Source organism: Homo sapiens, chromosome 16 (genome assembly GCF_000001405.40).
Source record: "Homo sapiens chromosome 16, GRCh38.p14 Primary Assembly".
Classification (NCBI taxonomy): Eukaryota; Metazoa; Chordata; class Mammalia; order Primates; family Hominidae; genus Homo; species Homo sapiens.
The window spans coordinates 67,507,819-67,534,227 of record NC_000016.10 but is presented as its reverse complement, the minus strand read 5'-3'; the positions used below and the strand labels follow the sequence as shown (position 1 = coordinate 67,534,227).

General features: G+C 52.7%; 1 protein-coding gene and 1 long non-coding RNA gene across 19 annotated transcripts in view, besides 10 other annotated features; one reads left to right on the top strand and one right to left on the bottom strand.

Moving 5' to 3' along the window:
• Nucleotides 1-15,859, bottom strand: part of RIPOR1 (RHO family interacting cell polarization regulator 1) — a 28,418-nt gene extending 12,559 nt beyond the window's left edge. For 7 of the 18 annotated variants that reach the window (XM_047434616.1, XM_047434618.1, XM_047434620.1 and 4 more), the window contains exon 1: nucleotides 4,369-4,839. In XM_047434616.1, the coding sequence (XP_047290572.1) occupies nucleotides 4,369-4,405 (37 nt within the window). In that variant the 5' untranslated portion in view covers nucleotides 4,406-4,839. Of the gene's footprint in view, nucleotides 1-2,597; nucleotides 3,628-4,140; nucleotides 5,400-15,614 lie in introns of those variants that run through there. The other 11 variants (XM_047434626.1, NM_001193522.2, XM_047434629.1 and 8 more) reach the window with 4 other exon arrangements.
• Nucleotides 3,793-4,072: a silencer, noted in NCBI's record as "silent region_7610". NCBI's record gives its function as "represses an Ori minimal core promoter by ATAC-STARR-seq in GM12878 lymphoblastoid cells {active_cell/tissue: GM12878}" and the evidence as "EXISTENCE:reporter gene assay evidence [ECO:0000049][PMID:35858748]".
• Nucleotides 5,073-5,302: a silencer, noted in NCBI's record as "silent region_7609". NCBI's record gives its function as "represses an Ori minimal core promoter by ATAC-STARR-seq in GM12878 lymphoblastoid cells {active_cell/tissue: GM12878}" and the evidence as "EXISTENCE:reporter gene assay evidence [ECO:0000049][PMID:35858748]".
• Nucleotides 5,333-5,442: a silencer, noted in NCBI's record as "silent region_7608". NCBI's record gives its function as "represses an Ori minimal core promoter by ATAC-STARR-seq in GM12878 lymphoblastoid cells {active_cell/tissue: GM12878}" and the evidence as "EXISTENCE:reporter gene assay evidence [ECO:0000049][PMID:35858748]".
• LOC100505942 (uncharacterized) lies at nucleotides 5,483-16,522 on the top strand. The gene is made up of 2 exons (NR_104656.1): nucleotides 5,483-5,911; nucleotides 15,843-16,522. It is a non-coding gene; the product is annotated as an uncharacterized LOC100505942 (long non-coding RNA).
• Nucleotides 12,638-12,897: an enhancer, noted in NCBI's record as "active region_10973". NCBI's record gives its function as "activates an Ori minimal core promoter by ATAC-STARR-seq in GM12878 lymphoblastoid cells {active_cell/tissue: GM12878}" and the evidence as "EXISTENCE:reporter gene assay evidence [ECO:0000049][PMID:35858748]".
• Nucleotides 15,317-15,376: an enhancer, noted in NCBI's record as "active region_10972". NCBI's record gives its function as "activates an Ori minimal core promoter by ATAC-STARR-seq in GM12878 lymphoblastoid cells {active_cell/tissue: GM12878}" and the evidence as "EXISTENCE:reporter gene assay evidence [ECO:0000049][PMID:35858748]".
• Nucleotides 15,637-15,686: an enhancer, noted in NCBI's record as "active region_10971". NCBI's record gives its function as "activates an Ori minimal core promoter by ATAC-STARR-seq in GM12878 lymphoblastoid cells {active_cell/tissue: GM12878}" and the evidence as "EXISTENCE:reporter gene assay evidence [ECO:0000049][PMID:35858748]".
• Nucleotides 15,697-15,786: an enhancer, noted in NCBI's record as "active region_10970". NCBI's record gives its function as "activates an Ori minimal core promoter by ATAC-STARR-seq in GM12878 lymphoblastoid cells {active_cell/tissue: GM12878}" and the evidence as "EXISTENCE:reporter gene assay evidence [ECO:0000049][PMID:35858748]".
• Nucleotides 15,917-16,086: an enhancer, noted in NCBI's record as "active region_10969". NCBI's record gives its function as "activates an Ori minimal core promoter by ATAC-STARR-seq in GM12878 lymphoblastoid cells {active_cell/tissue: GM12878}" and the evidence as "EXISTENCE:reporter gene assay evidence [ECO:0000049][PMID:35858748]".
• Nucleotides 19,407-19,576: a silencer, noted in NCBI's record as "silent region_7607". NCBI's record gives its function as "represses an Ori minimal core promoter by ATAC-STARR-seq in GM12878 lymphoblastoid cells {active_cell/tissue: GM12878}" and the evidence as "EXISTENCE:reporter gene assay evidence [ECO:0000049][PMID:35858748]".
• Nucleotides 19,709-19,896: a silencer, noted in NCBI's record as "fragment chr16:67548235-67548422 (GRCh37/hg19 assembly coordinates)". NCBI's record gives its function as "represses an EF-1alpha promoter that drives an FKBP-Casp9 reporter gene in an ReSE screen in K562 erythroleukemia cells {active_cell/tissue: K562}" and the evidence as "EXISTENCE:reporter gene assay evidence [ECO:0000049][PMID:32094911]".

Here is a 26,409-nt window from a genome sequence, read left to right as displayed (position 1 = left end):
AATTGCTCAACCCAGGAGGCAGTGAGCTGAGGTCGCGCTGCACTACAGCCTAGGTGATAGAGCAAGATTCTTTCTTAAAAAAAAAAAATTACAAAAAAGAAATGACTCAGCCCAGTGCAGCAGCTCATGCCTGTAATCCTAGTACTTTGGGAGGCCGAGGCAGGTGGATCACCTGAAGTAAGGAGTTCGAGACCAGCCTGACCAACTTGGTGAAACCCCGTCTCTACTAAAAAAAAAAAAAAAAAAAAAAAAATTAGCCGGGCGTGGTGGCGCATGACTGTAATCCCAATTGCTCAGAAGACTGAGGCAGGAGAATCGCTTGAACCCGGGAGGTGGAGGTTGCAGTGAGCCAAGATTGCACCATTGCACTCCAGCCTGGGCGACAAGAGCAAAACTCCATCTCAGAAAAAAAAAAAAAAAAAAGACTGCTTGTGGACCTTCTGTCTTTGTCCAGCTACCCCATTTCTTACTCCATCTTTCTCCTCTCCTTTCAAAGCCAAGTGTCTTGAAGAGATGTCTACCTGCATTTTCTCACTACACCCGCCTGCTCCTCTTCCCACCCTGGTCCAGTTTCTGTACCCACCACTGGACAAGGTCACCAGTGACCTCCCTGTTGCTGAACCCAGTGCCCATGTTTTATCCTTATCCTGCTTGATCTCAGCAAAGCTTTGGACTTCGTGGTTCCCCTCCTCTTCTTTAAGCCCTTCCTTCCCCTGAATTTCAAGAGACAATACGCTGGTTTTCTATCTACCTCTCTGGCTGCATATCTTACTTTCCCACAGAGGCCCCTTCTTTCCTCCCATCCCCGAATGGGCCTTATCCTCCCCGCCCTTGGGCTGTGCACAGATCCCGCAGCTCAATGCCATCTAAATGTTGCCAGCTTCCTTATCTCTCCTCCACCCAAGCCACTCTTCTGAGCACCAGGCCTCTGTATCCAACTGCCTGCTTGCTGCCTCCCCAGATGCAGCGTGCGCTGTCATAGTGCATGCTGGGTTTGAGGTTCCCAAACCAAATTCACCACTTTCCACCTGACTCTCCCTAGTCTCAACTTCTCCATGACACTCCACCATCTATGTACCCCGTTGTTCAAGACAGAAACTAGAAGTCGTCCTGGATGTCTCAGTTAGCCCCTATGACCAGTCACCCCCTCCTGCCAGGTCACCCCCTCCTGCCAGGTCTGGCTCTTAAATCTCTCTGCAATCTGCCCCCTCACCTCTACCCCTATAGCCAGAATTCAGGTCCAAGCCATCACCAACTCTCCCCTCGAGCCCTACAGCTGGGCTTCTGATGAGCTAGAACCTTCCTGAGGGACCTCCTGTCTCCACTCTAACCTGCAATCATCCATTCATTATTCAGTAACAACACTGACCTTAAAATTGTAGCCACTTGACAGTGCCAAAAACTGTCCTTTATTGAGAGCATTCTATATGCCAGGCATTGAGCTTAGCAAACATCATCTCATTTAATCCTGGCAACAGCCTTATGGGGTAAGTCCTATTAGCTCCACTTCGCACCTGAGAAACCTGAGGCTGTGTGACCTTGGGCAAGACACTTATTCAGCCTTTTGGGCTTCAGACACCCATCTGTAAAAAGAGGACAATAATAATAATAACAACAGCTATTTCCCAAGGCTGCTGGGAGGATGAAATGAGATCTCCTCTCATGAGGATGTCCCTCTATAGGAAGTGTTTGGGGAAGGGAGAATTGTATGTGGGGTAGGGACGTTGAGGTGGACTCACTATACCTAATTTTTTTTTTTTTAAGACGAGGTCTCACGCTGTCACCCAGGTCTCAGTGCAGTGGTGTGTTCATAGCTCACTGCAGCCTTGAACTCCTGGGCTCAAGCGATCAGTTTCAGTGCAGTGGTGCGTTCATAGCTCACTGCAGCCTTGAACTCCTGGGCTCAAGCAATCTTACTGCCTTAGCCTCTTAAGTAGCTGGAACCACAGGCATGCACCACCATGCCTAGCTAACATCTAACTGTGAACACACAACAAATACTAACTGCTATTATTTTTAACAGTCACACGGCCGGGTGCGGTGGCTCACGCCTGTAATCCCAGCACTTTGGGAGGCTGAGGAGGGCGGATCATGAGGTCAGGAGATCAAGACCATCCTGGCTAACACGGTGAAACCCCATATCTACTAAATATACAAAAAAAAAAAAAATTAGCTGGGCGTGGTGGCTGGCGCCTGTAGTCCCAGCTACTCAGTAGGCTGAGGTGGGAGAATGGCATGAGCCCGGGAGGTGGAGCTTGCAGTGAGCCAAGATCTCACCACTACACTCCAGCCTGGGCGACAGAGCGAGACTCTGTCTCAAAAAACAAAACAAAACAGTCACACAGGTGGTAAGTGTCAAGACCATGATTCAAACCCAGGCTGTCTGACCCCAGGACTCTAAATCTTTAATATCACTCTATTCAGACTGATGTGAAATAGCCACAGCCACTCTTGTCCCAGGGAGAAAGCCCAGACTCTCTAACATGACCCACGTAGGCCCTTCAGGATTTGTCCTGTCCCTCACATTCTTTCAACCACTCCTCTCCTCCCAGTCCCCTGCTTTCTCTGTTCCAGCAACTGAGACCCTCTCTCAATACCTGCAAGGTTCTTCAGAATCTGACCGGCAGCCCCCATCGCTCCTATTCCTTCTTCCCACTACTCAGCCCCAAGTCCCTCTCCTTCCTCAAGTCTACCCTATGACTTCTTCCTCCAGGAAGCAGGCCCTGGGTTGGTTCCCCCTTTTTGACTTCCTCCCTCTGAACCCCGAGACCACATAACCCAGTTGTCAGTTCTCCTTTAGGGCCTGTCTTCCCACCAGACTGAACCTTGTGAGACCTGGGGCATATCTGCTTGGCTCACCACAGCGCTCTGGGGGTCCTGTAGCACCTGGGAGATGAAGGGGGGGAACAGTGGGGGAAGCTGGGCTGCCTAGACACAGGAACAGCAGGTCCTGAGCTGTTTGTTGGTGGGGAGGATTTTAAGTCTATGTCCACCCCAACTCCCCTACCCGACATGCAATCCTCCCTCTCCCTTCCCACTGGCTGATGGTATCGTATACCATCAGCAAGTGGGGCTCTGCTCCCTGGGATGGTGCAGGGTGGGGATCCCCTGGGATTCTGGACTTGGAAACCGCTGACTGTTCCATCACTTTTCTCTCTCTGGTTGGCCCTCTGCTGCCACCATCCCCCGAGTCCCATAGGAACTAGGATGTCTAACTGTTGGTACAAATGACCATCATAATGTCCATCTGAGTGACCGCTTCGGGAGATGGGCGGGCAAGATTGCCCTTGCTGGGTGAGAGCAGGTAGGGAAAGAGCTGAACCCCTTGAGCTAAGGCAGAAGGGCCACCTCAACTGGTGGGGGACTGGCTGATAAGAACCAGGGGACTCTCTGGGCTCATGTCAGCCCTATAGTCTGTTCCCAGGATGGGAAATAACCCAGATCCAAGGTTCCAAAGGTTATGGGGCTTGCAGCACAGCCAGGTCAGGATGGCCGTGAGTGGAGGAGCCCTGACCTGTCCGCATGGCCCCAGATCTTGCAGCCCCGCTATACTTCCTACACACCAAGACTGGCACACCCGGGTGCGGCGGAATATCCCACCACCTGGGCTGCCCATCTCAGCACTGTGCCAGGCCAGCTGCCTCTCTGGGAGTCCCCGGGTCTAGCCCCGCCCCACCCCGGGGCCGCCCCGACCGAGGTAAACAGAGGCTAAAAATAACCTGGGCAAGGGGCGGCTGCAAGGGAGAAGGGGGTCCCTTCTGAGCCTGTCCTTGTCTCCATGGCAACTGCCCCCAAACCCGGCGGCTGACGTCATCTCGCAGCTGCCCAAGCGTATAGGAGGGAGGGGGAGCGGCACAGCCCCGGACCCCCCACCCCGGAACCGGGCGGAGGCTGTCGGGTGGCCTCACTTCCTGCCGGCCCCCTCCCTGGTCAGCTGGTTACATTCCCTGGCCGCGCGCTGGGAGCCAGGCGGCCTCCCCCGGGCCGGGCCTGGCCAGGGCTGAGTCCGAGCGGCGACGCAGAGGGGCCGCCGTGACTCACCCGCGCCCTCCCCGCCCGCTTCTCTCAAGCGGGACCCAGCCCAGAGTCCTGAGTCCTCCCCTCACCCGCACCCAAACCCAGACCCCTGGGGCGGCTCACCTTGCTCCTCTCTCCCGCCGCAGTCACAGGACCCAAGCCGGAGAGGGCGGTGGAAGAAGGAGCTATGCCAGTCCTCCTTGTCCCGCTGGAGTATTTTGTACCTCAGCCCCCAATTATCATTCCTCTCCTCCCTCCAATACCACGGAGGTGGGTGTCGCAGGGGCAAGGACTCAGATCTAATCCTCGCTTCTCCCAAACCAGCTGTGTGACCTTGAGAATACTACTAACCTCTCTGGGCCTGTTTCTGCATCTGCCAGATGGTCATAACCCTCCTCAGATGCTGTGCGTTGGCCGAATGCGGCAGGCCCAGGGCGCGGCCCCGCAGACTGCAGCCAGGGCACAAGTATTGTTACACGAGGCTGCGCACAGTAGGTGCTGGGGCGGCCAGCCTGGACACACGTTAGAACTGGCTGGGGAGGGTCTGTAGGGGAGGCCGGACTCAGGGCTCACCCTGGAGAGGAGGACAAAGGGTGCTGAATCTGGACTGAATCCGACCTCTAGCCCTGGTGAGCAGCCCCTTGCCCAAACCAGTTCTGCAGAGAGCCCAGGCCCGGCTGTTGCAGGAACCTTGCGCCAACCTCCATTTCCAGGGAAAAGCTCCGTTCCCCGACAAGGACGATCCTCTCCGGCTTCGGCTACGCCAGGTTTGGGCGGAGAGCCCGGCTCCAGCCCAGGCTCGGTCACCTCGGGGCCGGCCACAAAGCCGCTTAGGCCGGCCCCTAGAGCTAGGAGGATTAGCTCAGCTCCTAGGCCGGCCCGCACCCTTCGTCGCCCCCTCCCCATTTCCAGCCCAGCCTCCCCTGCGGCGAAGGCAGCAAGGGCTCCCAGGGAGCGCGCGTGCCAGGGCCCAGGCTGGCGCCTTGAGCCCGCTCTCTGGCCTGGCCCATCCCAGCGCCCCGGGGCACCGGCCGCCAGGGCCTTGCCGTGGGAGGAAGGCAGCAGCGCCAGGCTCTGCAGGCCCGGAGGCGGCGGCTTTTGTGGGAGAAGCTGCGTTCTCCACGCCCGGGGGGAGGGGAGGAAAGACAAGGCGCGGCCGGGGTCCGGGAGATGGGGTGAGGCGGGACAGAGCCGCAGATCCCGGACCCACCGGGCGGCGCCGGCGGGGGGGCACCAGAACCTCCGCGCCTGCTCCCCGCCCGGCCTGCAGCCCCGGAAACGGCGCGGGACACTCACATGGCTGCGCTGGGCTGCGCGGACCTCGCGCTGTCCTTGCGCTCGGAGGTGCCCGGCCTGGTCGCGCCGCAGCTGCCGCTGTCGCCGCCGCAGGCGCCGGCCCCTCCCTCCGCCCGCCGCCCCGCCGCCCCTCCCCTGGCCCGCCGGGCCCCACCCCCTGCGCTCCCGCGGCTCCCGCACCCCTAGAGGCGCCCACGGCTCGCTCCGCCCTCTCGGATAACGGGGCAGGCCGGTGGCCCACGCAGCCCACCAGCTTGCAGGGAGGGCAGACCCTGGGGGATGTGAGGGAGGCTTTCTCACGCAGACCCTAAAACGGTGAGCGCCAGGGAGCCCCGCCTGCTTGTCCCCTCCCCAGATCCCTCGGGCTCTGGAGACCTTGCGGGCCCCCTGTCCGTGACCACCTGAAACAGGTCCTGGAGCTGCTACTGCTGGCTTAGGCTGGTTGGTGGAAAGGATCCAGGGCTGTTGTGAAGGCCTTGGGGAGTCCAGAAGCCGCCTGGCACCTTCTGGGTCCAGACGCTGCCCTTCAGCCCTGCCATTTCAGCCAGCCTCAGCGTCGCTGTAGAGGCAGGCCGCCCTTTCTGCCACTGTCTGGCTGGTAAGTCCAGGCTCATAGCCGGGTCATGCATTCCCCACTCATTGGGTACTGGTTTTCGGGCAGTCTTGGGGTGGGGACGCTGGCAGGGTCCGGGTACAGGGCCATGTGTTGGGCAACCCAGTCCTTTCCAAAGCCGGGGCTAGAATGCTGGCCCTCCACACAGTCGGTAAAGGTGGGGCTGAGAGTCGACCCCATGTTGGGGTCAAAGGGCCAGTTCCACTCCCCCGCTCCTCCCATCAATCAGACACCCCTGGCCCTTCCAACCTGGACACCCCTGAGGCTTCTCCAGGCCTTGCACTCCCGCAGCCCTCATGTATGTCAGACCTACCCAGGAATGGTTTCAGGGACAGTAAGAGGTCCCTGAATATCTGTACCCCGCCCCCACCAGTCCTGAGGGCTGTTTTTTTGTGTGTTTTGCTTGTTTGCTTGGTTTTGTTTGGTCGGGTTTTTTTTTTTTTTTTTTGAGACAGAGTGTCACTGTCGCCCAGGCTGGAATGCAGTGCAAGCTCCACCTCCCAGGTTCATGCCATTCTCCTGCCTCAGCCTCCCGAGTAGCTGGGACTACAGGCGCCCACACCACGCCCGGCTAATTTTTTGTATTTTTGGTAGAGATGGGGTTTCACCATGTTAGCCAGGATGGTCTCGATCTCCTGACCTCGTGATCTGCCCGCCTTGGCCTCCCAAAGTGCTGGGATTACAGGCATGAGCCACCGCGCCCAGCCTGTTTGGTCGGTTTTTTAGAGATGGGCTTTCTTCATGTTGCTCAGACTGGTCTCTAACTGGGCTCAAGCGATCCTCCCACCTTGGCCTCCCAAAGTACTGGGATTACAGGCTTGAGCCACCTCTGCCTCACAGTTCTCCACTCTCCAGCCCCTCCTCTTGGGCTTCCTTTGTAGTGCCCTTTTCTTTCTTTCTTTTTTGTTTTTTTTTGGGGGACGGAGTCTCCCTCTGTTGCCCAGGCTGGAGTATAGTGGCGTGATCTCGGCTCACTGCAACCTCCGCCTTCTAATTTCTATATTTTTGGTAGAGATGTCCCGGCTAATTTTTATATTTTTGGTAGAGATGGGGTTTCACCATGTTGGCCAGGCTGGCCTCCACCTCCTGGCCTCAAGCGATCCACCCACCTTGGCCTCTCAAAGTGCTGGGATTACAGGCATGAGCCACTGGGCCGGTCAGTGCCCTTTTCTCTGAAGTCCTTAAACCTGGGCATGACTTCCAGGGGCTGAGTTCTTCTCTTTATTCACCCTACCCTAAAATATCATCCAGTCTCAGGGCTCCCATCCATTCACTGCTGACCATCCCAAACTTCCCTCTGTGCCCAGAGCCCTCTCCTGTTTCAGAGCCCCTGGCTGCTTTCTGGTTGACTCACCAGTCCTCAGCATTGTCCCCATCCCTACAAAGCACCACTGTCTACCCAGGCATCCACCTGAGCTAGAGACTGGGGTTTTCTGGAGTTCTCAAAGCTGGCACCAATTGGCCTCTGCCCACCCCTAAAGTCACCTCTCAGCCAGGCATCTTCTGAGTACTTTCTCTGCAGACACCCTCTGTTCCAGCCTCCTATTGACTCCTTTCATACTGCTCACCATGGCCAGGCAGCAGTGTGCACACCATGTGTGCTCATGGGCCTGACCCTGCCTGACTGTGTTGTCTCTAAGTAGTGTGCGGGTAGGAACCACAGAAGTCCTTATCATCAAGGTGCCTGGCTCATAGTGGGAGTTCAAGAAATATTTGTTGAATGAGCAAGTAACTGAACGTGTAAATGCATGAGCCCTTGGCATCCCCCTCTCCTGCCCTCACCTTCCTTTAGCTGCCCAGTCCTCTTGCTTCTTTCTCCTTAACATCTTTTGAATTAATTCCCTCCCCCTACCATGCCCACCCACTCCAGAAGATAGTCCATACTATGTGGTAGGGCCTCCAAGGCCCAGGAGATCTGGCCTCAGATGACCTCACCTCCTTATCTTGCACTTATTCTGCGGCCCCTGTGATCTGGCTTCCACTACACTCCCAGCCTGCAGCTCCCTGGATGCAGCCTCCACCCTCTGGCCTCTGCCTTTTTTCCCAGCCTCCCTTCTGCCTAGGATGCTTCTCCCCCTCATCCACTTGGAAAACAGCTCAGATGTCCCTTCCTCCAGGGAACCTGTGTCCTCTGAGCACCCATTACTGCCTATTGTCCTTGTCCATGGCCAGGCCTGTGACCACCAGACCAGGCACAGATGGCGCTGCAGTGATTAAATGGAACACCTGGGAGTTCACCTGGCTCTTCCCCCACATCCAAGGGGCCTCGAGGGAAGGGCAGCATCCCTCCGAGGGTCACAGGGTCCTGGTGGCTTTCAAAGCCTCTCCCTAACAATTGGTGAGCTAAGCACAGGGGAGGACACAGCTTGAAACCCACTTCAAAGAGGAGACACCTGAAGCTCAGGGAAGGCAAGAACTTCCCATAGAAACTGTCACATCGTTGGGAAGGGCAGACTCTGAGCTCCAACTTGGCTCCCTGGGTCGTGGTCAGCTCGGCCCTGTTTGAATCAGGCATCATTTCCTGAGCCCTGTCCTCTGCCTGGGACTCAGCTGGTAGCTGTGGTGTGTGTAGAAAGGAATTATGAGCACTTCTAACCACTGGGAGATCACATTCTCAGAGGGGTGGACTCAGGCCTGAGAAAAATCCCTGGGACAGACAGCAGAGGGTGGTGAGAGCCGCAATGAACCCCCAGTCCTCACACACGGCACTGCTAGTTCCATTTCAGAAGTAATGCAGTTCAAGTCCGAAACCCCAGAAAAACCGCGGCTTCCCTCACCCCACCCTACAGCCCCCGCGGATGACAACTCTCTGCCATGCAACCCCCACCCCCATCCCAGCTTTCTGTGAACAGATAGAATAGAAGCTTGCCCTGGACTGTGCCTGGGGCCACATCATTCATTCATTTGCCAGATATACAGCAAGCATTTGTGGAATGTCGGCTGTGCCCGGGCCACCCTGGGGTGACCAGAGGTGAGATCTCCCTAGTTCCTTCCCACAGGGCTCACAGTCAAAGAGAACAGGTATGTCCAAGTCTCTGCACCTCCCAAGTCCCCAAATGCTGAGGGTGTGTGTGTATGTGAGTGTGTGGGACTGTGTCTGTGTGCACATGTGTGCTAGTTAGGAAGGGCTTTGCAGAGAAGGGGCCCTTAGCGTGGCTCTTTGTTGGGGCTCCCTAGGCAGACAGTGGGTAGGTCCTGGAAGGAGCAGCTGAGGCTGGGGGAGCAAGAGTTTAAGCCACAGGAGAAAGGAGCAGCCTCTTTTGCTGAACCAGAGCAAAAGCTGGAGAATTGCGTGCGGGGCCTTGGGGCCGGCTGGGGAGCAAGGATTTTACCCTTGGGGTGATGGGGAGCCTGGGCTTTAGGCTGGGGGATTTTGTGGTCATATCTGTGCTTTGCAAACGTCACTCAGGCACTGTGTGTGTGTATGAGGGGAGGCAGGAGGCCTCAAGGAGGCTGGTGCAATTTCCAGCCCAGTGGATGGTGGCCTGGGCCAGGGTAGGGGCCGTGGGGATGGAGAGGAGACATTTAAGAGATGTTCAGGAGGCAGAATGCAGAGCTTGGTGACTGAAGGGATGTGGAGTCTGGAGAGAGGGAGACATCCCAGATGAGGCAGGGGCTTTGGGCCTGGGTGATGGGTGGATAGTGGGATAATGGTGTTTTTTAATGAGGTGGGGAGGCCTGAAGGATCTGGTTAAGGGAAAGGTAATATGGTCAGTTTGGGCAGGTGGCATCTGAGGGATCTAGGGACCACCAAGGAGGAAGTGTCCAGAAGGCAGCTGGACAGGCAGGGAGAAGAGAGAGGGGTCTGAGCTGGAGACATCTTCTGGGGGGAACAGTGGTCAACTGGGTCACCAAGAGATCAAGTAAGGAAAGGCCCAAAGCACCACGGCCTGTTGGAGCACTTCAGTGCATGGTGGGGCAAAGGCAGGCTTGGAGGAGGTAGGTATGAGGCTTGCGGGTATACTTGACCCACCACCAGCCTCCACACCCCTCCAGCCCCAGCCTGGACTCTACTTTCCTTTGTGTGTGTCAAAAGACAAGAGCCAGGGATGCTGCTCCACATTCAAGTCCTGGCTTTACCACTGTCATCAGGCTTCTCCTAGAGCCATTTCTCCTTTCTGATGCTTTAAGTGCACCCATCCGTTTAATCGTTAAAATTGCTATTTGAAGAAGTGCCGCATCTCATTAATAATCAACACAATGCAAACACAAACAACAGGAGACACTATTTTTTTTTGTTTGCCTCTGAGATGGGCAGTGATGAACATGATGTGTGAGGGGACACTCAAGAGAGTAGGAATTGGTTTAAATGTTTAAGGGTAGGCTGGGTGTGGTAGTGGCTCACACCCGTAATTTCAGCACTTCGGGAGGCAAGGTGGGAGGATGGCTTCAGCCCAGGAGTTAGAGACCAGACTGGGCAATATAGTAAAACCCAGTCTCTACTAAAAACACAAAAATGAGCACGCCATGGTGGCGCATGCCTGTAATCCCAGCTCAAGAGACTGAGGTGGGAGAATCGCTTGAGCCCAGTAGGTTGAGGCTGCAGTGAGCCGTGATTGTGCCACTGCACTCCAGCCTGGGCAACAGAGCGAGACCCTGTCTCAAAAAAAAAAAAAAGTTTAAGGGTAGTTTTTTCAGAATTTATCAGGATGGCAAGTGCAAACCTCCCTTTCACCAAATTTCAGCAAATTTACCCCAAAGAAATAGCTGTTCATGCAGGAAAACATCTGTGCCAAAAGATGTTGACTACTGTTTTTTTTTTTTTTTTTTTTTTTTTTTTATGGAGTCTTGCTCTGTCACTAGGCTGGAGTGCAGTGGCGCGATCTCGGCTCACTGCAACCTCTGCCTCCCGGGTTCAAGCGATTCTCATGCCTCAGCCTCCCGAGTAGCTGGGGTTACAGGCACGCGCCACCATGCCCGGCTAATTTTTGTATTTTTAGTAGAGACAGGGTTTCACCATGTTGGCCAGGCTGGTCTCGAACTCCTGACCTCAGGTGATCCACCTGCCTCGGCCTCCCAAAGTACTGGCTTGTTTAATCAGGGACAGAGGGATGACATAGTCCCGCAGTGGGAGATGGAGGGTAAAGGAGGTGCACATAGGCCTGAGATGTTCCATAGCCACTGCAAATGGATGGCAGGCATGGATTGAGCATGTGCTATGCGCCTGGCATCATTCTGGATGCTGGGGACACAGTGACAGACCAGTTCAGCAAGGCCCCTGCTCTCAAGTTTACACTCTGCCAAAGGAGACTGACAATAAATGAGTTAACATATAAACAAGATGATTTCAGAGAGAGGGAGAGAGGAGAGCTGTGAAGAAGCCAAACCAGGTAATGTGGTTTGGAGTGGTGGGGCTGAGGGGCTGCTTTCGTCAGGTTGGTCAGGGAAGGCCTCTTTGAGGCAGTGACATTGGAGCTGAGACTTGAGTGACAGGAAAGAAACAGTCACTGAACAACCCAGAGGAAGAGTGTCCCAGGCAGAGGGAACAGCAAAGGCGGGGGGTTGGGGGGCTGGGAGGTGAGAATGAGCTAGTGGTAGTTGAGCCATGTGGGCTAGAGGAGAGGTCAGGAGGTGAGGTCTGAGAGGTGAGTGGGGTGAGGGCGGGGTAGGGAGTGAGGGTTTTATATCTGAACATGGAAAGGCACTCAATATAATAAGCATGGTGGAGGCCGGATGCAGTGGCTCATGCCTGTAATCCCAACACTTTGGGTGGCTGAGGCGGGCAGATCATGAGGTCAAGAGATCGAGACCATCCTGGCCAATATGGTGAAACCCCGTCTCTACTAAAAATACAAAAATTGGCCAGGCGCGGTGGCTCACGCCTGTGATCTCAGCACTTTGGGAGGCTGAGGCAGGTGGATCACCTGAGGTCAGGAGTTCGAGACCAGCCTGGCCAATATGGGGATACCCCGTCTCTACTAAAAATACAAAATAAGCCAGGCATGGTGATGTGTGCCTGTAATCCCAGCTACTCGGGAGGCTGAGGCAGGAGAATTGCTGGAACCTGGGAGGCGGAGGTTTCAGTGAGCCGAGATCGCGCCACTGCACTCCAGCCTGGGGAACAGAGCAAGACTCTGTCTCAAAAAAAAAAAAAAAAAAAAAAAAAAAAATCTGGGCGTGGTGGCACACGCCTGTAGTCTCAGCTACTCGGGAGGCTGAGGCAGAAGAATCGCTTGAATCCGGGAGGCAGAGGTTGCAGTGAGCTGAGATCGCACCACTGCACTCCAGCCTGGCGACAGAGCGAGACTCTGTCTCAAACAACAACAACAACAACAAAAAACATGGTGGAGTGGAGAAAGTTCCAGAACAGCCTGCATAGCAGGAATCTCCTCAGGTGAGACCTGCATCCATCGGTCCTGAGAGCCACAATGCCCGTCATCTCTGGGCGTTGTACTTTCATTTGGTTTATTTTCTTCTTTGTATTTATTCATACAAATAATGGTTTGCAATCAACATGGCATCGTTTTCAAAAGCAACATGGCCATTACTTATTGGGCCATCTCCAGGCTGGCCTCTGCACTGAGGAGGTGTAAATTTCTAGGCTTGGCAATCGCTTCCCTGGGGACACCGCCTGAGGCTGGCCAGTGTCGCTGTCATTGTCCCCGCTAGTCCAGCCTCGGCCTCCAGGGGGAGCTGTGAGCTGGGCGGTGCTCTGCTGGTTTGGGCAAGGGGTGGGGCGATTGACTGTGTGTCTCGCGGTCTGGGCTGGGCGTCCTTCCTTCCTTCCTGACTCCTTTCTCCTAAGGGACAAGTGGGAGGGACGTCTTCGCCTCTCCCAGCTCATGGGATGAACTGCTCCCCTGGGACCCTTTCAGCCCAGGCCCCCTGACAAAGGAAGGCTGCAGTGTGTGGTGCATAGTTTATTTCTGTGAGTTGCTAACGCTAGGTGAACTGCTCTGACAGAGATTTGGAGGGTGTGGTGGTAGGAGAGACCCGGCCACCAGGCATCTGGAAATTCCCCCGTCCCATCGGATGACGACCTGGGGCTGAGAATCCCCAGGCGGAACCCGACTCTGCTCCTAAGAAGTAAAGTTGGTCTTTGGCGCCACCGTCTGGGAAGTGTCTACACTGCAGTTACGGACTTGGCAAAATACCGCCAGCTCAAGGGGGTGCCCCTGGCGGCCAGTCCTGGATTCAAGAACAGTCACTGTAGAGTGCAGTGCACAACCTGTTCGGTTCTGTGTGACAGCTCTGCTGACACTCAGACCTGATCACGGATCCTGGGAACCCCACCACTACCATTAAAACCCCCTCCATATGCCAAAGCCTCTTCAAGAGGGAGAAATGCTCCCTGTCCCTCCACTTCTCAGTCCTCTCCTCCTTTGACCTTTCCAGGTGTGTTGGGCACAGCTGGTCCTCCCCATCTTCTGAAGCGTCCTTTGGCTTCTGTGATCCAAGAGAAGGATTTCTAGCTGCTTCTCTGGCTATCTCCCTTCATGCCCCTCAGTGAGCTCCTCCAGGAGCTCAACCCCCTTACCTCATTTTTTTTTTTCTTTTTTTTTGAGATGGAGTCTCACTCTGTCGCCTAGGCTGTAGTGCAGTGGCACTATCTCGGCTCACTGCCACCTCTGCTTCCTAGGTTTAAGCGATTCTCCTGCCTCAGCCTCCTGAGTAGCTGGGATTACAGGTGCACACCCCATGCCCAGCTAATTTTTGTATTTTTAGTAGAGACGGGGTTTCACCATGTTGGTCAGTCTGCTCTCAAACTCTTGACCTAATGATCTGCCTGCCTCGGCCTCCCAAAGTGCTAGGATTACAGGCGTGACCCACAGCACCTAGCCACACCTCATTCTTGATACTTCTCTCCAGGGTACAACTTCAGGGCCTCTTTTCTTTTTTCTCTTCTCTTCTCTTCTCTTCTCTTATCTTCTCTTCTCTCTTTTCCATCCCTTCCTTCCTTCCTTTTCTTTTCTTTTTTTTTTTTGAGATGGGGTCTCACTGTCACCAGGTTGGAGTGCAGTGGCGCGATCTCAGCTCACTGCAACTTCTGCCTCCCAGGCTCAAGTGATCCTCCCACCTCAGCGTCCTGAGTAGCTGGGACCACAGGCACACACAACCATGCCCGGCTAAATTTTTTTGTATTTTTGGTACAGACAGGGTTTCACCATGTTGTCCAGGCTGGTCTTGAACTCCTGAGCTCAAGTGATCTGCTAACCTCAGCCTCCCAAAGTGCTGGGATCACAGGCATGAGCCACTGCACTCGGCCCTCAGAGTCTTTTTTTTTTTTTTTTTTTTTTTTGAGACGGAGTTTTGCTCTTGTGACCCAGGCTGGAGTTCAATGGCGCCATCTCGGCTCACTGCAACCTCTGCCTCCCAGGTTCAAGCAATTCTTCTGCCTCAGCCTCCCGAGTAGCTGGGATTACAGGTGCCCGCCACCACACCCGGCTAATTTTTGTATTTTTAGTAGAGACAGGGTTTCACCATGTTGGCCAGGCTGGTCTCAAGCTCCTGACCTCAGGTGATCCATCTGCCTCGGCCTCCCACAGTGCTGGGATTACAGGCGTGAGCCACCGCACTGGCCAGAGCCTCCTTTTTGTTCCCACAGTGATGACTTGAGTCTCATCCCCCACATCTCTTGCTCCACTTCCCCCACTTAGGATGACCTTCGGACACCTCCAAATCCATTGTGTAAAGTCAGCCCCATCTCCTCCCTTCAGAACTGCCCTCCCTCCTGGGTCCCCATGTAATCTTTCCCCAGACCTCTTCCCTGACACCCTCCAGCCACCAAGTGAGTCCCCTCTTCCCTATGCCCACTTTCCTGCCCTTGGCTAGACTATCACTTGCCAAGGATACACATCACTCGGTGTCCTTGTTCATTGTCCACGCAGCAGCTGGATGACCTCTGCCCGTGGGACCTGTCTCTCCTCACTTCCCCACTGGCCCCTCACCCCTGGCCAGTTCCTCCTTAGGAGGGCGTAGTTCCAGCTGGACTGAACTTCTTTGTGTCCCTGGATACACCCTGCCTTCCCTACCTCTCCATCTTTGCACAGGGTGGGCCCTGAAGTGTTTTTTTTTTTTTTTTGAAACAGAGTCTTTCTCTGTTGCCCAGGCTGGAGTGCAGTGGCACAATCTCCACTCACTGCAACCTCCGCCTCCCAGGTTCAAGCAATTCTCATGCCTCAGACTCCCAAGTAGCTGGCACTACAAATGTGCATCAGCACGCGTAGTAGTGCATTTTTAGTAGAGGCCGGGTTTCATCGTGTTGTCCAGGCTGGTCTCAAACTCCTGACCTCAGGTGATCCACCCACCTCAGCCTCCCAAATTACTGGGATTACAGGCATGAGCCACTGCGCCTGGCCTGGGCCGTACAGTTGAATGCCTTTTCCTCTTTCCTTCGCCTAACTGCTGCTCACCCTTGAGGTCTCAGCCGAGACCCACTTCCTTTGAGACAGTTTCCTGGACCGCAGGCTGGGTCCGGAACCTCTCCTTCTCTCTTACAAAGCCCTGTGCAGCCCCCTTCTCTGCCCTTGTCTGCCTCCCCTTCCAAGAGCGCCACCTGCTCTGCTCAGGGTTCCACACCCCAAGACCGGGTGCAGGTTGAGTCACCTGACTCTGTCACCCTGCCCAATTCCCAGACTCAGAGGTCCCAGATCTCAGAGGTCACTGAGTTCCAGAGGGAGCAAGGCCATGCTTGAGGGTCGCCACAGTGAGCCAGTGGCCAGGCTGGGCTGGGACCCAGGACTCTTACCTTCCCCTCCAGGGCTCCCGCGCTCCCCCAGATGCCATCATGAGCAGAGTTGGGATCCTTGAGGGCCCAAGGGTCCTCAACCAGAAGGGACTTGGTGGGCTCCTGTCCTGGGGGGATGGCAGCCACCAGCCCAGGCTCTTGAGAGCCCAGGATGCTGGTGAGGGCTGTCCCAGGAAGCCAAGAGAGCCAATGTCAGCACATCTAATGAACTGCCTCCTTCTTCAACAGGGCTGGGCCGTGGGAGTGCTGGCCAACGTGCCAGGCAGGGAGGACCTGAATTCCTGAAGGTGGTGGTGGCAGCTGTTAGGGTCCACAGGTTAATGATCTCCAACGTCACACAGAAGAGAATGTGCTGAGGTGTGACCTCCCTCACCCTGCCTTGGCTGCGTGGGGCACCGTCTCTCCAGGACTCACCCTGCCCCCCAATAGACTGAAGTCTGAAGATCAGCCCAGTCTTCCTTCAGGCCTCAATGCCCTCTCACTTCCCCAGCCCGAGGGACTCCTGGCTCTTCTCGGAGGCTGCTCTGTGGGGTCCCTCCCTTGGGCCTTTGCTAATGCTGTGCCCTCTGCCTGTGCCAGAGGTGGGCCTGGGCCCGTTTCTCAGGGAGCTCCTGAACACCAAGAAATTGAATTGCTTTGTAAATAAACAAAAAGTGCCAAACAAGCCTGCCTGTCACTTGGGAGATGGCCCGTCTCTGCCCCACCAAATTTGCTAATCAAACAAATAACCTAAAATAGAATAGAAAGAACTCATCTAGACTTTTCTTGTACCTCTGCTCCCCAAACAGCTTCTCTTTTCAGGTCTCCGGAGCAGCCCTGTTCTCTCTAGCCCAGGCCTCTGTCAAAAATTCAGCCTGACCTTAATTAATTAATTATTATTATTTTTAATTAAAAAATTTTTAAATATATACAGACGGGTGGGTGTGGTGGCTCATGCCTGTAATCCCAGCACTTTGGAAGGCTGAGGCTGGCGGATCACCTGAGATCAGGAGTTTGAGACCAGCCTGGCCAACACGGCGAAACCCCATCAACTCTACTAAAAATACAAAAATTAGTTGGGCATGGTGATGCATGCCTATAACCCCAGCTACTAGGGAGGTTGAGGCAGGAGAGTCGCTTGAACCCAGGAACCCAAGCAATATATATACACAAACGAGGTTTCACCATGTTGCCCAGGCTGATCTTGAACTCCTGAGCTTAAGCAATCCACCCGCCTTGGCCTCCCAAAGTGTTGAGATTACAGCCATGAGCCACTGTGCCCGGCCTTATTATTTGAGTAAAGGTCTCACTCTTTCACCCAGGCTGGAGTGCAGTGTCATGATCATGGCTCACTGCAACTTTTAACTCCTGGGTTCACGTGATCTTGCCTCAGCTTCCTGAGTAGCTAGGACTATAAGTGTGTGCCAGCATGCCCAGCTAATTTCTTTTTTTAAATTTTTTTGTAAAGACAAGGTCTCACTATTTTGCCCAGGCTAGTCTTGAACTACTGCGCTCAAGCAATCCTCCCGCCTCAACCTCCCAGAGTGTTGGGATTACAGATATAAGCCACCGTGCCCAGCCTCAGCTTGAACTTTATATCTGAACGATCCTCCCGTAGGTGTTGGAGAAGCCTTCCAGGACCCCCATCCCAAACCTTCCTCCTTCTCACTTAACACAAGTGCAATGACTTGCTCAATGGCTGTGAGCTCTGTGGGGCCAGGGATGGTGGTGCCTCATTCACCAATCCATGTGCACTGCCTTCCATAGGAACTGGATGGATGCTCAATGACTCTCTGTTGGATTATGAATGGCAGGGGGCCTTGGGCACTGGGATATTGTCTTCCTCTCTGGAGCTGCCCAGTTTTTTGTTTTTTGGTTGTTTTTTTTTTTTTTTTTGCTGAGTAGGTGCATCTCAGTCTTCTATTAATAAATTGCCCGGAGGCACAGACTCTCTCAGGCAAGCCGTCTGGTTCCTTGCTATTTCGCTAGTCTTTCTCACTGTTGTTTTTCTCCCTGAGTTTCCACCGGAGCAAGCGGCTTGACAGTTTCACACTAAAACTAAACACTTTCCCCAAGATTCATCCTTCCTTAGTTCCTGGAATCTGCTTTTCATCTTTCTTGGCTTAGAAAGCCAGTGACTCATTTACTGATCCAGGATTCACTTCTCCACTGGAATTTCTTGCAGGAAATCTGAGAGTGGCAGGTGACATCATTTTTCACTCCGCCTGCCCCCTCTTGTCTCTGAATTTACTTATCTAAAACTCCAGATTTGTTGAATTGTAAGAGGCAATGGAGTTGTTAGTTTTTCCTTTAATTTAGGTAGCCCTCATTACACCACGGCCCTGTACTCCTAGGGGCTCACCCCAGGGCCTTTGTAGAGCTTCCAAGGCCCCCAACCTCCAAACCTTACAAAATCACCTGTGTTTCCTTGCTAAGTTTCCACATAATGACAACAACTGGCTCTCACTGGAAATCTAGAAAGCCATAGGTTTATTTCTAATGTACTTTCAAAATGCCAACCCTTCTCACCCTTTCTAGCTACCCAGAAATCACACATACACACAAGTACAATTCCTAATTTGTAATAATCTAAAAGCTCAAATGAAAATTATAGAGTCCATAGCCTGAACATAGTCAGTGTTTATGCTGTGACTGAAATGACCTAGGGGTTTGGTCTAGGTCCTGCTGCTCGCCACACAGAAAGCCAATCACTGAAACGAGTATTGCCAGGAAAGAAGGCTTTATTCATGTATTGCAGCTGAGATGAGAGATCAGTCTCAAATCCGTCTCTTTGACTGAACGAAATTAGGGGTTTAGGCCAGGTGTGGTGGCTCATGCCTGTAATCCCAGCACTTTGGGAGGCGGAGGGGGGGCAGATCACGAGCTCAGGAGTTTGAGACCAGCCTGGCCAACATGGCAAAACCCCGTCTGTACTAAAAATACAAAAATCAACCAGGCGTGATGGTGTGTGCTGATAATCCCAGCTACTCAGGAGGCTGATGCAGGAGAATCACTGAACCCAGGAGGCAGAGGTTGCAGTGAGCCAAGATCGTGCCACTGCACTCCAGCCTCAGTGACAGAGCCAGACTTTGTATCAAAAAAAAAAAAAAAAAAAAAAAAAAAAAAAAAGGCCGGGCGCAGTGGCTCACGCCTGTAATCCCAGCACTTTGGGAGGCCGAGGTGGGCAGATCCCCTGAGGTCAGGGGTTCGAGACCAGCCTGGCCAGCATGATGAAACCCCATCTCTACTAAAAATACAAAAAATTAGCCAGACATGGTGGCAGGTGCCTGTAATCCCAGCTACTCAGGAGGCTGAGGTGGGAGAATTGCCTGAACCTGGGAAGCAGAGGTTGCAGTGAGCCAAGATCATGCCACTGCACTGTAGCCTGGGCAACAAGAGCGAAACTCTGTCTCAAAAAAAAAAAAAAGATTTTAAGGGTTTATATAGCAGGCTAGAAATGTGATCTTGTATGGGAAAACAGGAATTAGGGAAGGGCAAGGAAGAGGAGTTGGTCAATAGGAAGCAGGTGGCTGGTTAGGCAGTTATTTATTTATTTATTTAGAGACACATTCTTACTCTGTCACCCAGGCTGCAGTGCAGTGGCGCGATCTTGGCTCACTGAAACCTCTGCCTCCTGGGTTCAAGTGATTCTTGTGCCTCAGCCTCTCAAGTAGCTGGGATTACAGGCATGCCACCATGCCTGGCTAATTTTTGTACTTTTAGGAGAGATGGGGTTTTGCCATGTTGGCCAGGCTGGTCTCAAACTCCTGACCTCAGGTGATCCGCCTGCCTCAGTCTCCCAAAGTGCTAGGATTACAGGTGTGAGCCACTGCACCCAGCATGATTAGGCAGTTATGATGGGTATGGGGTCTGGTAACATATTGTCCAGATGCAGTGATCTGTAAAGTTTCAGTTCCTTGATACTACCTGGGAGGCCTGATGGTTGGTTTCCTGAGAAAGGAACTAATCAATAGATCGGAGCAAGAACAGAGCTGTAGGGCTATAACCCCCGTGAACTGAGAAGACCAAGTGAGAAGTTCCCAGGAAGTCCCAAAAGGAGAGCAAGCGTAAACATGCACCCACAAGGGGGCGTGCATTTACTGTCTTTCAATTAAAAACAATTTTTTTTTTGAGTCAGCGTCTTGGTCTGGTGTGCAATGGTGCAATCACAGTTCACTGTAACCTCCAACTCCTGAGCTCAAGCGATCCTCCCGCCTCAGCCTTCCAAGTAGCTAGGACCACAGGCTCGTGCCACCATACCTGGCTAATTTTATTTTTTAATTTTAATGATTTTTTTTTTTGAGACAGGGTCTTGCTCTGTCACTCAGGCTGCAGTGCAGTGACATGATCATGGCTCACTGCAGCCTCAACCTCTTGGACTCAAGCAATCCTCCCATCTTAGCCTCCAAAGTAGCTGGGATCACAGGCATGTACCACCACACCTGGCTAATTTTTGTATTTTTTTGTAAGACATGGTCTCGCTATGTTGCCTAGGCTCATCTCCCATTCTGAGGCTCAAGAGCTCCACCTGCTTCAGCCCCTGCAAAGTGCTGGGATTACAGGTGTGAGCCACAGTGCCCAGCCCATTTGAGTATATTATTTGGATAAATATTTATTTTACACAGTTTTTTTTTGTAGAAATGGGGTCTTGCTATATTGCCCAGGCTGGTCTCAAACTCCTGGGCTCAAGCAATCCTCCCACCTCAGCCTCCCAAGTAGCTAGGACTACAGGTGTGTACTACCACACTTGGCTCTTTACCCACTTTTGCACTGAGTTGTTTGATTTGCAAATATTTTTTCCCATCCTGTGGATTGTCTTGTCTTTTCACTCTCTTTTTTTTTTTTTTGAGCCGGAGTCTTGCTCTGTCACCCAGGCTGGAGTGCAGTGGCACAATCTCGGCTCACTGCAAGCTCCGCCTCTTGGGTTCAAATGAGGCTACTCCTCCTGAGTAGCTGAGATTACAAGCGTGTGCCACAATACCCAGCTAATTTTTGTATTTTTAGTAGAGACAGTATTTCACCATGTTGGTCGGGCTGGTCTTGAACTCCTGACCTCATGATCTCCCCGCCTCAGCCTACCTAAGTGCTGGGATTACAGGCTTGAGACACCGCGCTACCATACTCAGCCTTTTTTTTTTTTTTTTGAGATGGAGTCTCGCTCTGTCGCCAGGCTGGACTGCAGTAGGGCGATCTTGGCTCACTGCAACCTCCACCTCCTGGGTTCAGGTGATTCTCCCGTCTCAGCCTCCCAAGTAGCTGGGACTAAAGGCGTGCTCCAACACACCCGGATAATTTTTGTATTTTTAGTAGAGATGGGGTTTCACCATGTTGGCCAGGATGGTCTCAATCGCTTGACCTCGTGATCCGCCCACCTGGGCCTCCCAAAGTGCTGGGATTACAGGCGTGAGCCACCACGCCTGGCCGAGTCTTTTCTTTTTAAATTATTTTTAAACTTCTTTTTTTGTTTGTTTTTTTGAGACAGCATCTCACTCTGTTGCCCAGGCTGAAGTGCAGTGGCATGACCATAGCTCCTTGCAGCCTTGAACTCCTGGGCTCAAGGGATCCTCCCACCTCAGCCTCCCGAGTAGCTGGGCCAACAGGTGCATGTCACCACTCCTGGTTAATTTTTTTTTTTTTTTTTTTTTTTGAGACGGAGTTTCACTCTATCGCCCAGGCTGGAGTGCAGTGGCGTGATCTTGGCTCACTGCAAGCTCTGCCTCCCGGGTTCACGCCATTCTCCTGCCTCAGCCTCCCAAGTAGCTGGGACTACAGGCGCCCGCCACCACGCCCGGCTAATTTTTTGTATTTTTAGTAGAGACGGGGTTTCATCGTGTTAGCCAGGATGGTCTCGATCTCCTGACCTTGTGATCCGCCCGCCTCAGCCTCCTAAAGTGCTGGGATTACAGGCGTGAGCCACCGCGCCTGGCCCACTCCTGGTTAATTTTTAAATATTCTGTAGAGATGGGATCTTCCTATGTTTCCCAGGCTGGGCAACATAACAACATAATAACATAACATAAAATAATTTTAAAGGTGATAGGCCGGGTGTGGGGACTCATGCCTGTAATCCCAGCATTTAGGGATGCTGAGGTGGAAGGATTGCTTGAGCCCCGGAGTTCGAGACTAGCCTGGGCAACATAGAGAGCCTCAGCCTCACCTGATCTCCCTTCCTTCTCCTCCCTGGGGTTCACGGCTGGCCACCAGCCTGTCCTGTCATTCCTGTCATCTGCCTGACTCCCTCCTGCACAGAGGTTCAACAGCAGGCCAGCTTCAGGTTCCTGCACCTCTGGCAAAACATCTTGCCTCTTTTTACTTGTCAAAATGATGACAGAATGACTTCAAAGATACATTCACAAAAGCCACCTTCCTATCCCATCACTGAGGCTTCACCAGAGAGCTTACTACCCCAGGGCTGCGTACACCGTCGCCCTCACAGCAGGGTTCTAACTTTGCCTCCCCCATCGCCTGAGAGTGAGATGGAGAGCTCTGGGCAGGTGGACCCCCTCCAGATTAGTTCAGAAAGTCTGCATAACTACAATTGTTTTTTAAAAAAAAACCTTGCAATGTGGGTATAAATTTTTGCCCCAGGACCAGGCACAGTTACTCATGCCTGTAGTCCCAGCACTTTGGGAGGCCAAGGCAGGTGGATCGCTGGAGGCCAGGAGTTCAAGACCAGCCTGGCCAACATGGCAAAAACCTGTCTCTGCTAAAAATACAAAAATCACGGCCTGGCGTGGTGGCTCATGCTTGTAATCCTAGCACTTTGGGAGGCCGAGGCTGGCAAATTGCCTAAGCTCAGGAGTTTGAGACCAGCCTGGGCAACACGGTGAAACCCTGTCTCTGCTAAAAAAAAATACAAAAAATTAGCTGGGAGTGGTGGCGTGCACCTGTAGTCCCAGCTACTCAGGAGGCTGAGGCAGGAGGATTGCTTGAACCCAGGAGGTGGAGGTTGCAGTGAGCCGAGATCACACCAGCCTGGGCAACAGAGCAAGACTCCCTCTCCAAAAAAATTAATACTAATAACACAAAAATCAGCCAGGCATGGTGGCATGTGCCTATAATCCCAGCTACTTGGGTGGCTGAGGAATGAGAATTGCTTGAACCCGGGAGGCAGAGGCTGCAGTGAGCCGAGATTGCACCATTGCACTCCAGTCTGGGTGACAGAGCGAGACCCTGGTCTCAAAAACAAACAAAACAAACAAACAAACAAACAAACACATCAGGCGCAGTTGCTCACACCTGTAATTCCAGCACTTTGGGAGGCCAAGGCAGGTGGATCATTTGAGGTCAGGAGTTCGAGACCAGCCTGGCCAACATGGTGAAACCCTGACTCTACTAAAAATACAAAAAAAATTAGCCAGAAGTGGCCAGGCGCGGTGGCTCACGCCTGTAATCCCAGCACTTTGGGAGGCCAAGGCGGGCAGATCATGAGGTCAGGAGATCGAGACCATCCTGGCTAACATGATGAAACCCTGTCTCTACTAAAAATACAAAAAAAAAAAAAAAAAAAAACCCGGGAGGCTGAGGCAGGAGAATGGCGTGAACCAGGGAGGCAGAGCTTGCAGTGAGCCGAGATTGCACCACTGCACTCCAGCCTGGGTGACAGAGCGAGACTCTGTCTCAAAAAAAAAAAAAAAAAAAAAAAAATTAGCCGGGTGTAGTGGCAGGTGCCTGTAGTCCCAGCTACTTGGGAGGCTGAGGCAGGAGAATGGGGTGAATCCAGGAGGTGGAACTTGCAGTGAGCCGTGATCGTGCCACTGCACTCCAGCCTGGGTGACAGAGCAAGACTCTGTCTCAAAAAAAAAATTAGCTGGGAGTGGTGGCGTGTGCCTGGAGTCCTAGGTACTTGGGAGGCTGAGGCAGGAGAATCGCTTGAACCTGAGAGGAGGAGGTTGCAGTGAGCCAAGATCACTCCACTGCACTCTCCCATGCCTGGAAGACAGAGCAAGACTCCATCTCAAAAAAAAAAAAATTTCTCTTCCAAATACCACCTTTGTGCAAGAAACATCAATCTGAATCTGAATTCCCTTCTGCCAAGTAATTACAGTCATGCAGCACTTAACAATGGTAATATGTTCTGAGAAGTAAGTCCTATTTTATCATTGTGTGAACATCACAGACTGTACTTACACAACCCCAGATGGTATAGCCTACTACACGCCTAGGCTACAAACCTGCACAGCATGTTACTGTGCTGAATACTGTAGGCAGTTGTACCACAACAGCTAATATCTGTTCATGTAAACATATCTAAACATAGAGAAGGTTCAGTAAAAATACAGTATTATGATCTTATGCGACCACTGTCATATATGCAGTCCACTGTTGACCAAATCGTCGTTATGCTGTGCATGACCCCGTTGGGGTCCCCTCCCCTCCTCTGGCTGAGAAATGACCCAGGTCTTGCTTGGAGCAGAGCTTTGGCTTTGTGTCCCTTTTGGCCCACCACTGAGGGTCTGTCACTGCCCACACTCACAAGGCCCTAGAAGGGGCAGCTGAGATAGGACTCAAGGACATTAGTCAAGACTGGTGCCTAATTCTTTTTCTTATTTATTTATTTATTTATTTTTATTTTTATTTTTATTTTTTTGAGACAGAGTCTCACTCTGTCGCCCAGGCTGGAGTGCAGTGGTGCCATCTAGGCTCACTGCAAGCTCCGCCTCCCGGGTTTACTTACACCATTCTCCTACCTCAGCCTCCTGAGTAGCTGGGACTACAGGCGCCCCCCAACACGCCTGGCTAATTTTTTGTATTTTTAGTAGAGACAAGGTTTCACCGTGTCAGCCAGGATGGTCTCAATCTCCTGACCTCGTGATCTGCCCGCCTCAGCCTCCCAAAGTGCTGGGATTACAGGCGAGCCACCGTGCCCGGCCTTTATTTATTTTTTTGAGATGGAGTCTCGCTCTGTTGCCAGGCTGGAGTGCAGAGGCACGATCTCAGCTCACTGCAACCTCCACCTCCTGGGTTCAAGCAATTCTCCTGCCTCAGCCTCCCTAGTAGTGGGGACTACAGGCACGCACAACAACACCCAGCTAAGTTTTGTATTTTTAGTAGAGATGGGGTTTCACCATGTTGGCCAGGATTGTCTCGATCTCCTGACCTCATGATCTGCTCGCCTCAGCCTCCCAAAGTGCTGGGATTACAGAAGTGAGCCACCACGCCGAGCTGACTGGTGCCTAATTCTTAGGGTTCAGCCTCACTGGGTGCACTCTGTACTTGCTCCCCACTGAGGTCTTGCCACTGTTCTGGACTTGGTGAGGGAGGGGGCACCGTTCCCACTGCATTGAGCCATGCCAACCACTGTCTACTCCCACTCCTTGTTGTGCCAGTGACATCCCACCAAGAGGAGTTCAAGTGTCTGTTTTTCCTCTGCTATCATACTTCTTGATCTTTGCCAATAGTCTAGGGTAGAGGGGTTGGCTCATGGCCAAATCTAGCCCACTGCTAGTGTTTGTGCAGCTTGTGAGCTAAGAATGTTGGTTTTGTTTTTAATTTTTTTTGAGACAGGATCTCACTCTGTCACCCAGGCTAGAGTGTAGTAGTGCGATCATGGCTCACTGCAGACTCAGTCGCCTGGGTTCAGGTAATCCTTCCACCTCAGCCTCCCGAGTAGCTGGGACTACAGGTGTGAGCCACCATGCCAGGCTAATTTTTAAATTTTTCTGTAGAGACAAGGGTCTCAGGCTGGTCTCTCAAGCAACCCTCTTGCCTTGGCCTCCCAAAGTGCTGGGATTACAGGTGTGAGCCACCGTGCCCAGCCAAGAATTTTTTTTTTTTGAGATGGAGTCTTGCTCTGTCACCAGGCTGGAATGCAGTGGCGTGATCTTGGCTCACTGCAGCCTCCCCCTCCCAGGTTCAAGCAATTCTCCTGCCTCAGCCTCCTGAGTAGCCAGGATTACAGGCGCCTGCCACCACACCCGGCTAATTTTTGTATTTTTAATAGAGACGGGGTTTCACCTTGTTGGCCAGGCTGGTCTCGAACTCCTGACCTCTTAATCCGCCCGACTCAGCCTCCTAAACTGCTGGGATTACAGGCACAAGCCACCACACCTGGCATTAGAGATCCTGTCTTACAAAAAAAAAAAAAAGTACTGGGGGCGGTGGCTCATGCCTATAATCCCAGCATTTTGGGATGCCAAGGTGGGTGGATCACTTGAGGTCAGGAGTTCGAGACCAGCCTGGCCAACATGGTGAAACCCTGTCTCTACTAAAAATACAAAAATTAGCCGGGCATGGTGGTGGGTGCCTGTAATTCCAGCTACTTAGGAGACTGAGGCAGGAGAACTGCTTGAATCTGGGAGATGGAGTGTCTTGCAGTGAGCCGAGATTGCACCACTGCACTCCAGCCTGGGCAACAGAAGGAGACTCCATCTCAAAAAAAAAAAGGTCTGAAGTAGATAGTGGCAATGGGTATACAACATTATGAATGTACTTAATGCTACTGACATACGCTTAAAAATGGTTAAATGGTAAGTTTTGTTTTTTAAAATCACAATTTAAAAAAATTACTTTAAAGAAAGAAGTGGCTGAACCCTAGATCCCTTCCTCAACTCAACCCGGATGGTGCTGCCCTTCTCCCACACCAGCAGATGATAGATAATAGAGTGTCTCTAGACTGGGGAGCACCAGGCAGTTAGGAGTCAGATTATCATCCGAAAAGCAGAATGATTACAGAGAAGTTTATATACTGAATATGTAGGCACTGCTCTTCTTCTCTAGGAAGGATCTAGAATGCCAGCAGCCAGAGTATACCTGCAGGCAGGAGATTGGCAGACACCTCAAGAGAAAATAATAAACACATTGACATTGACATTGA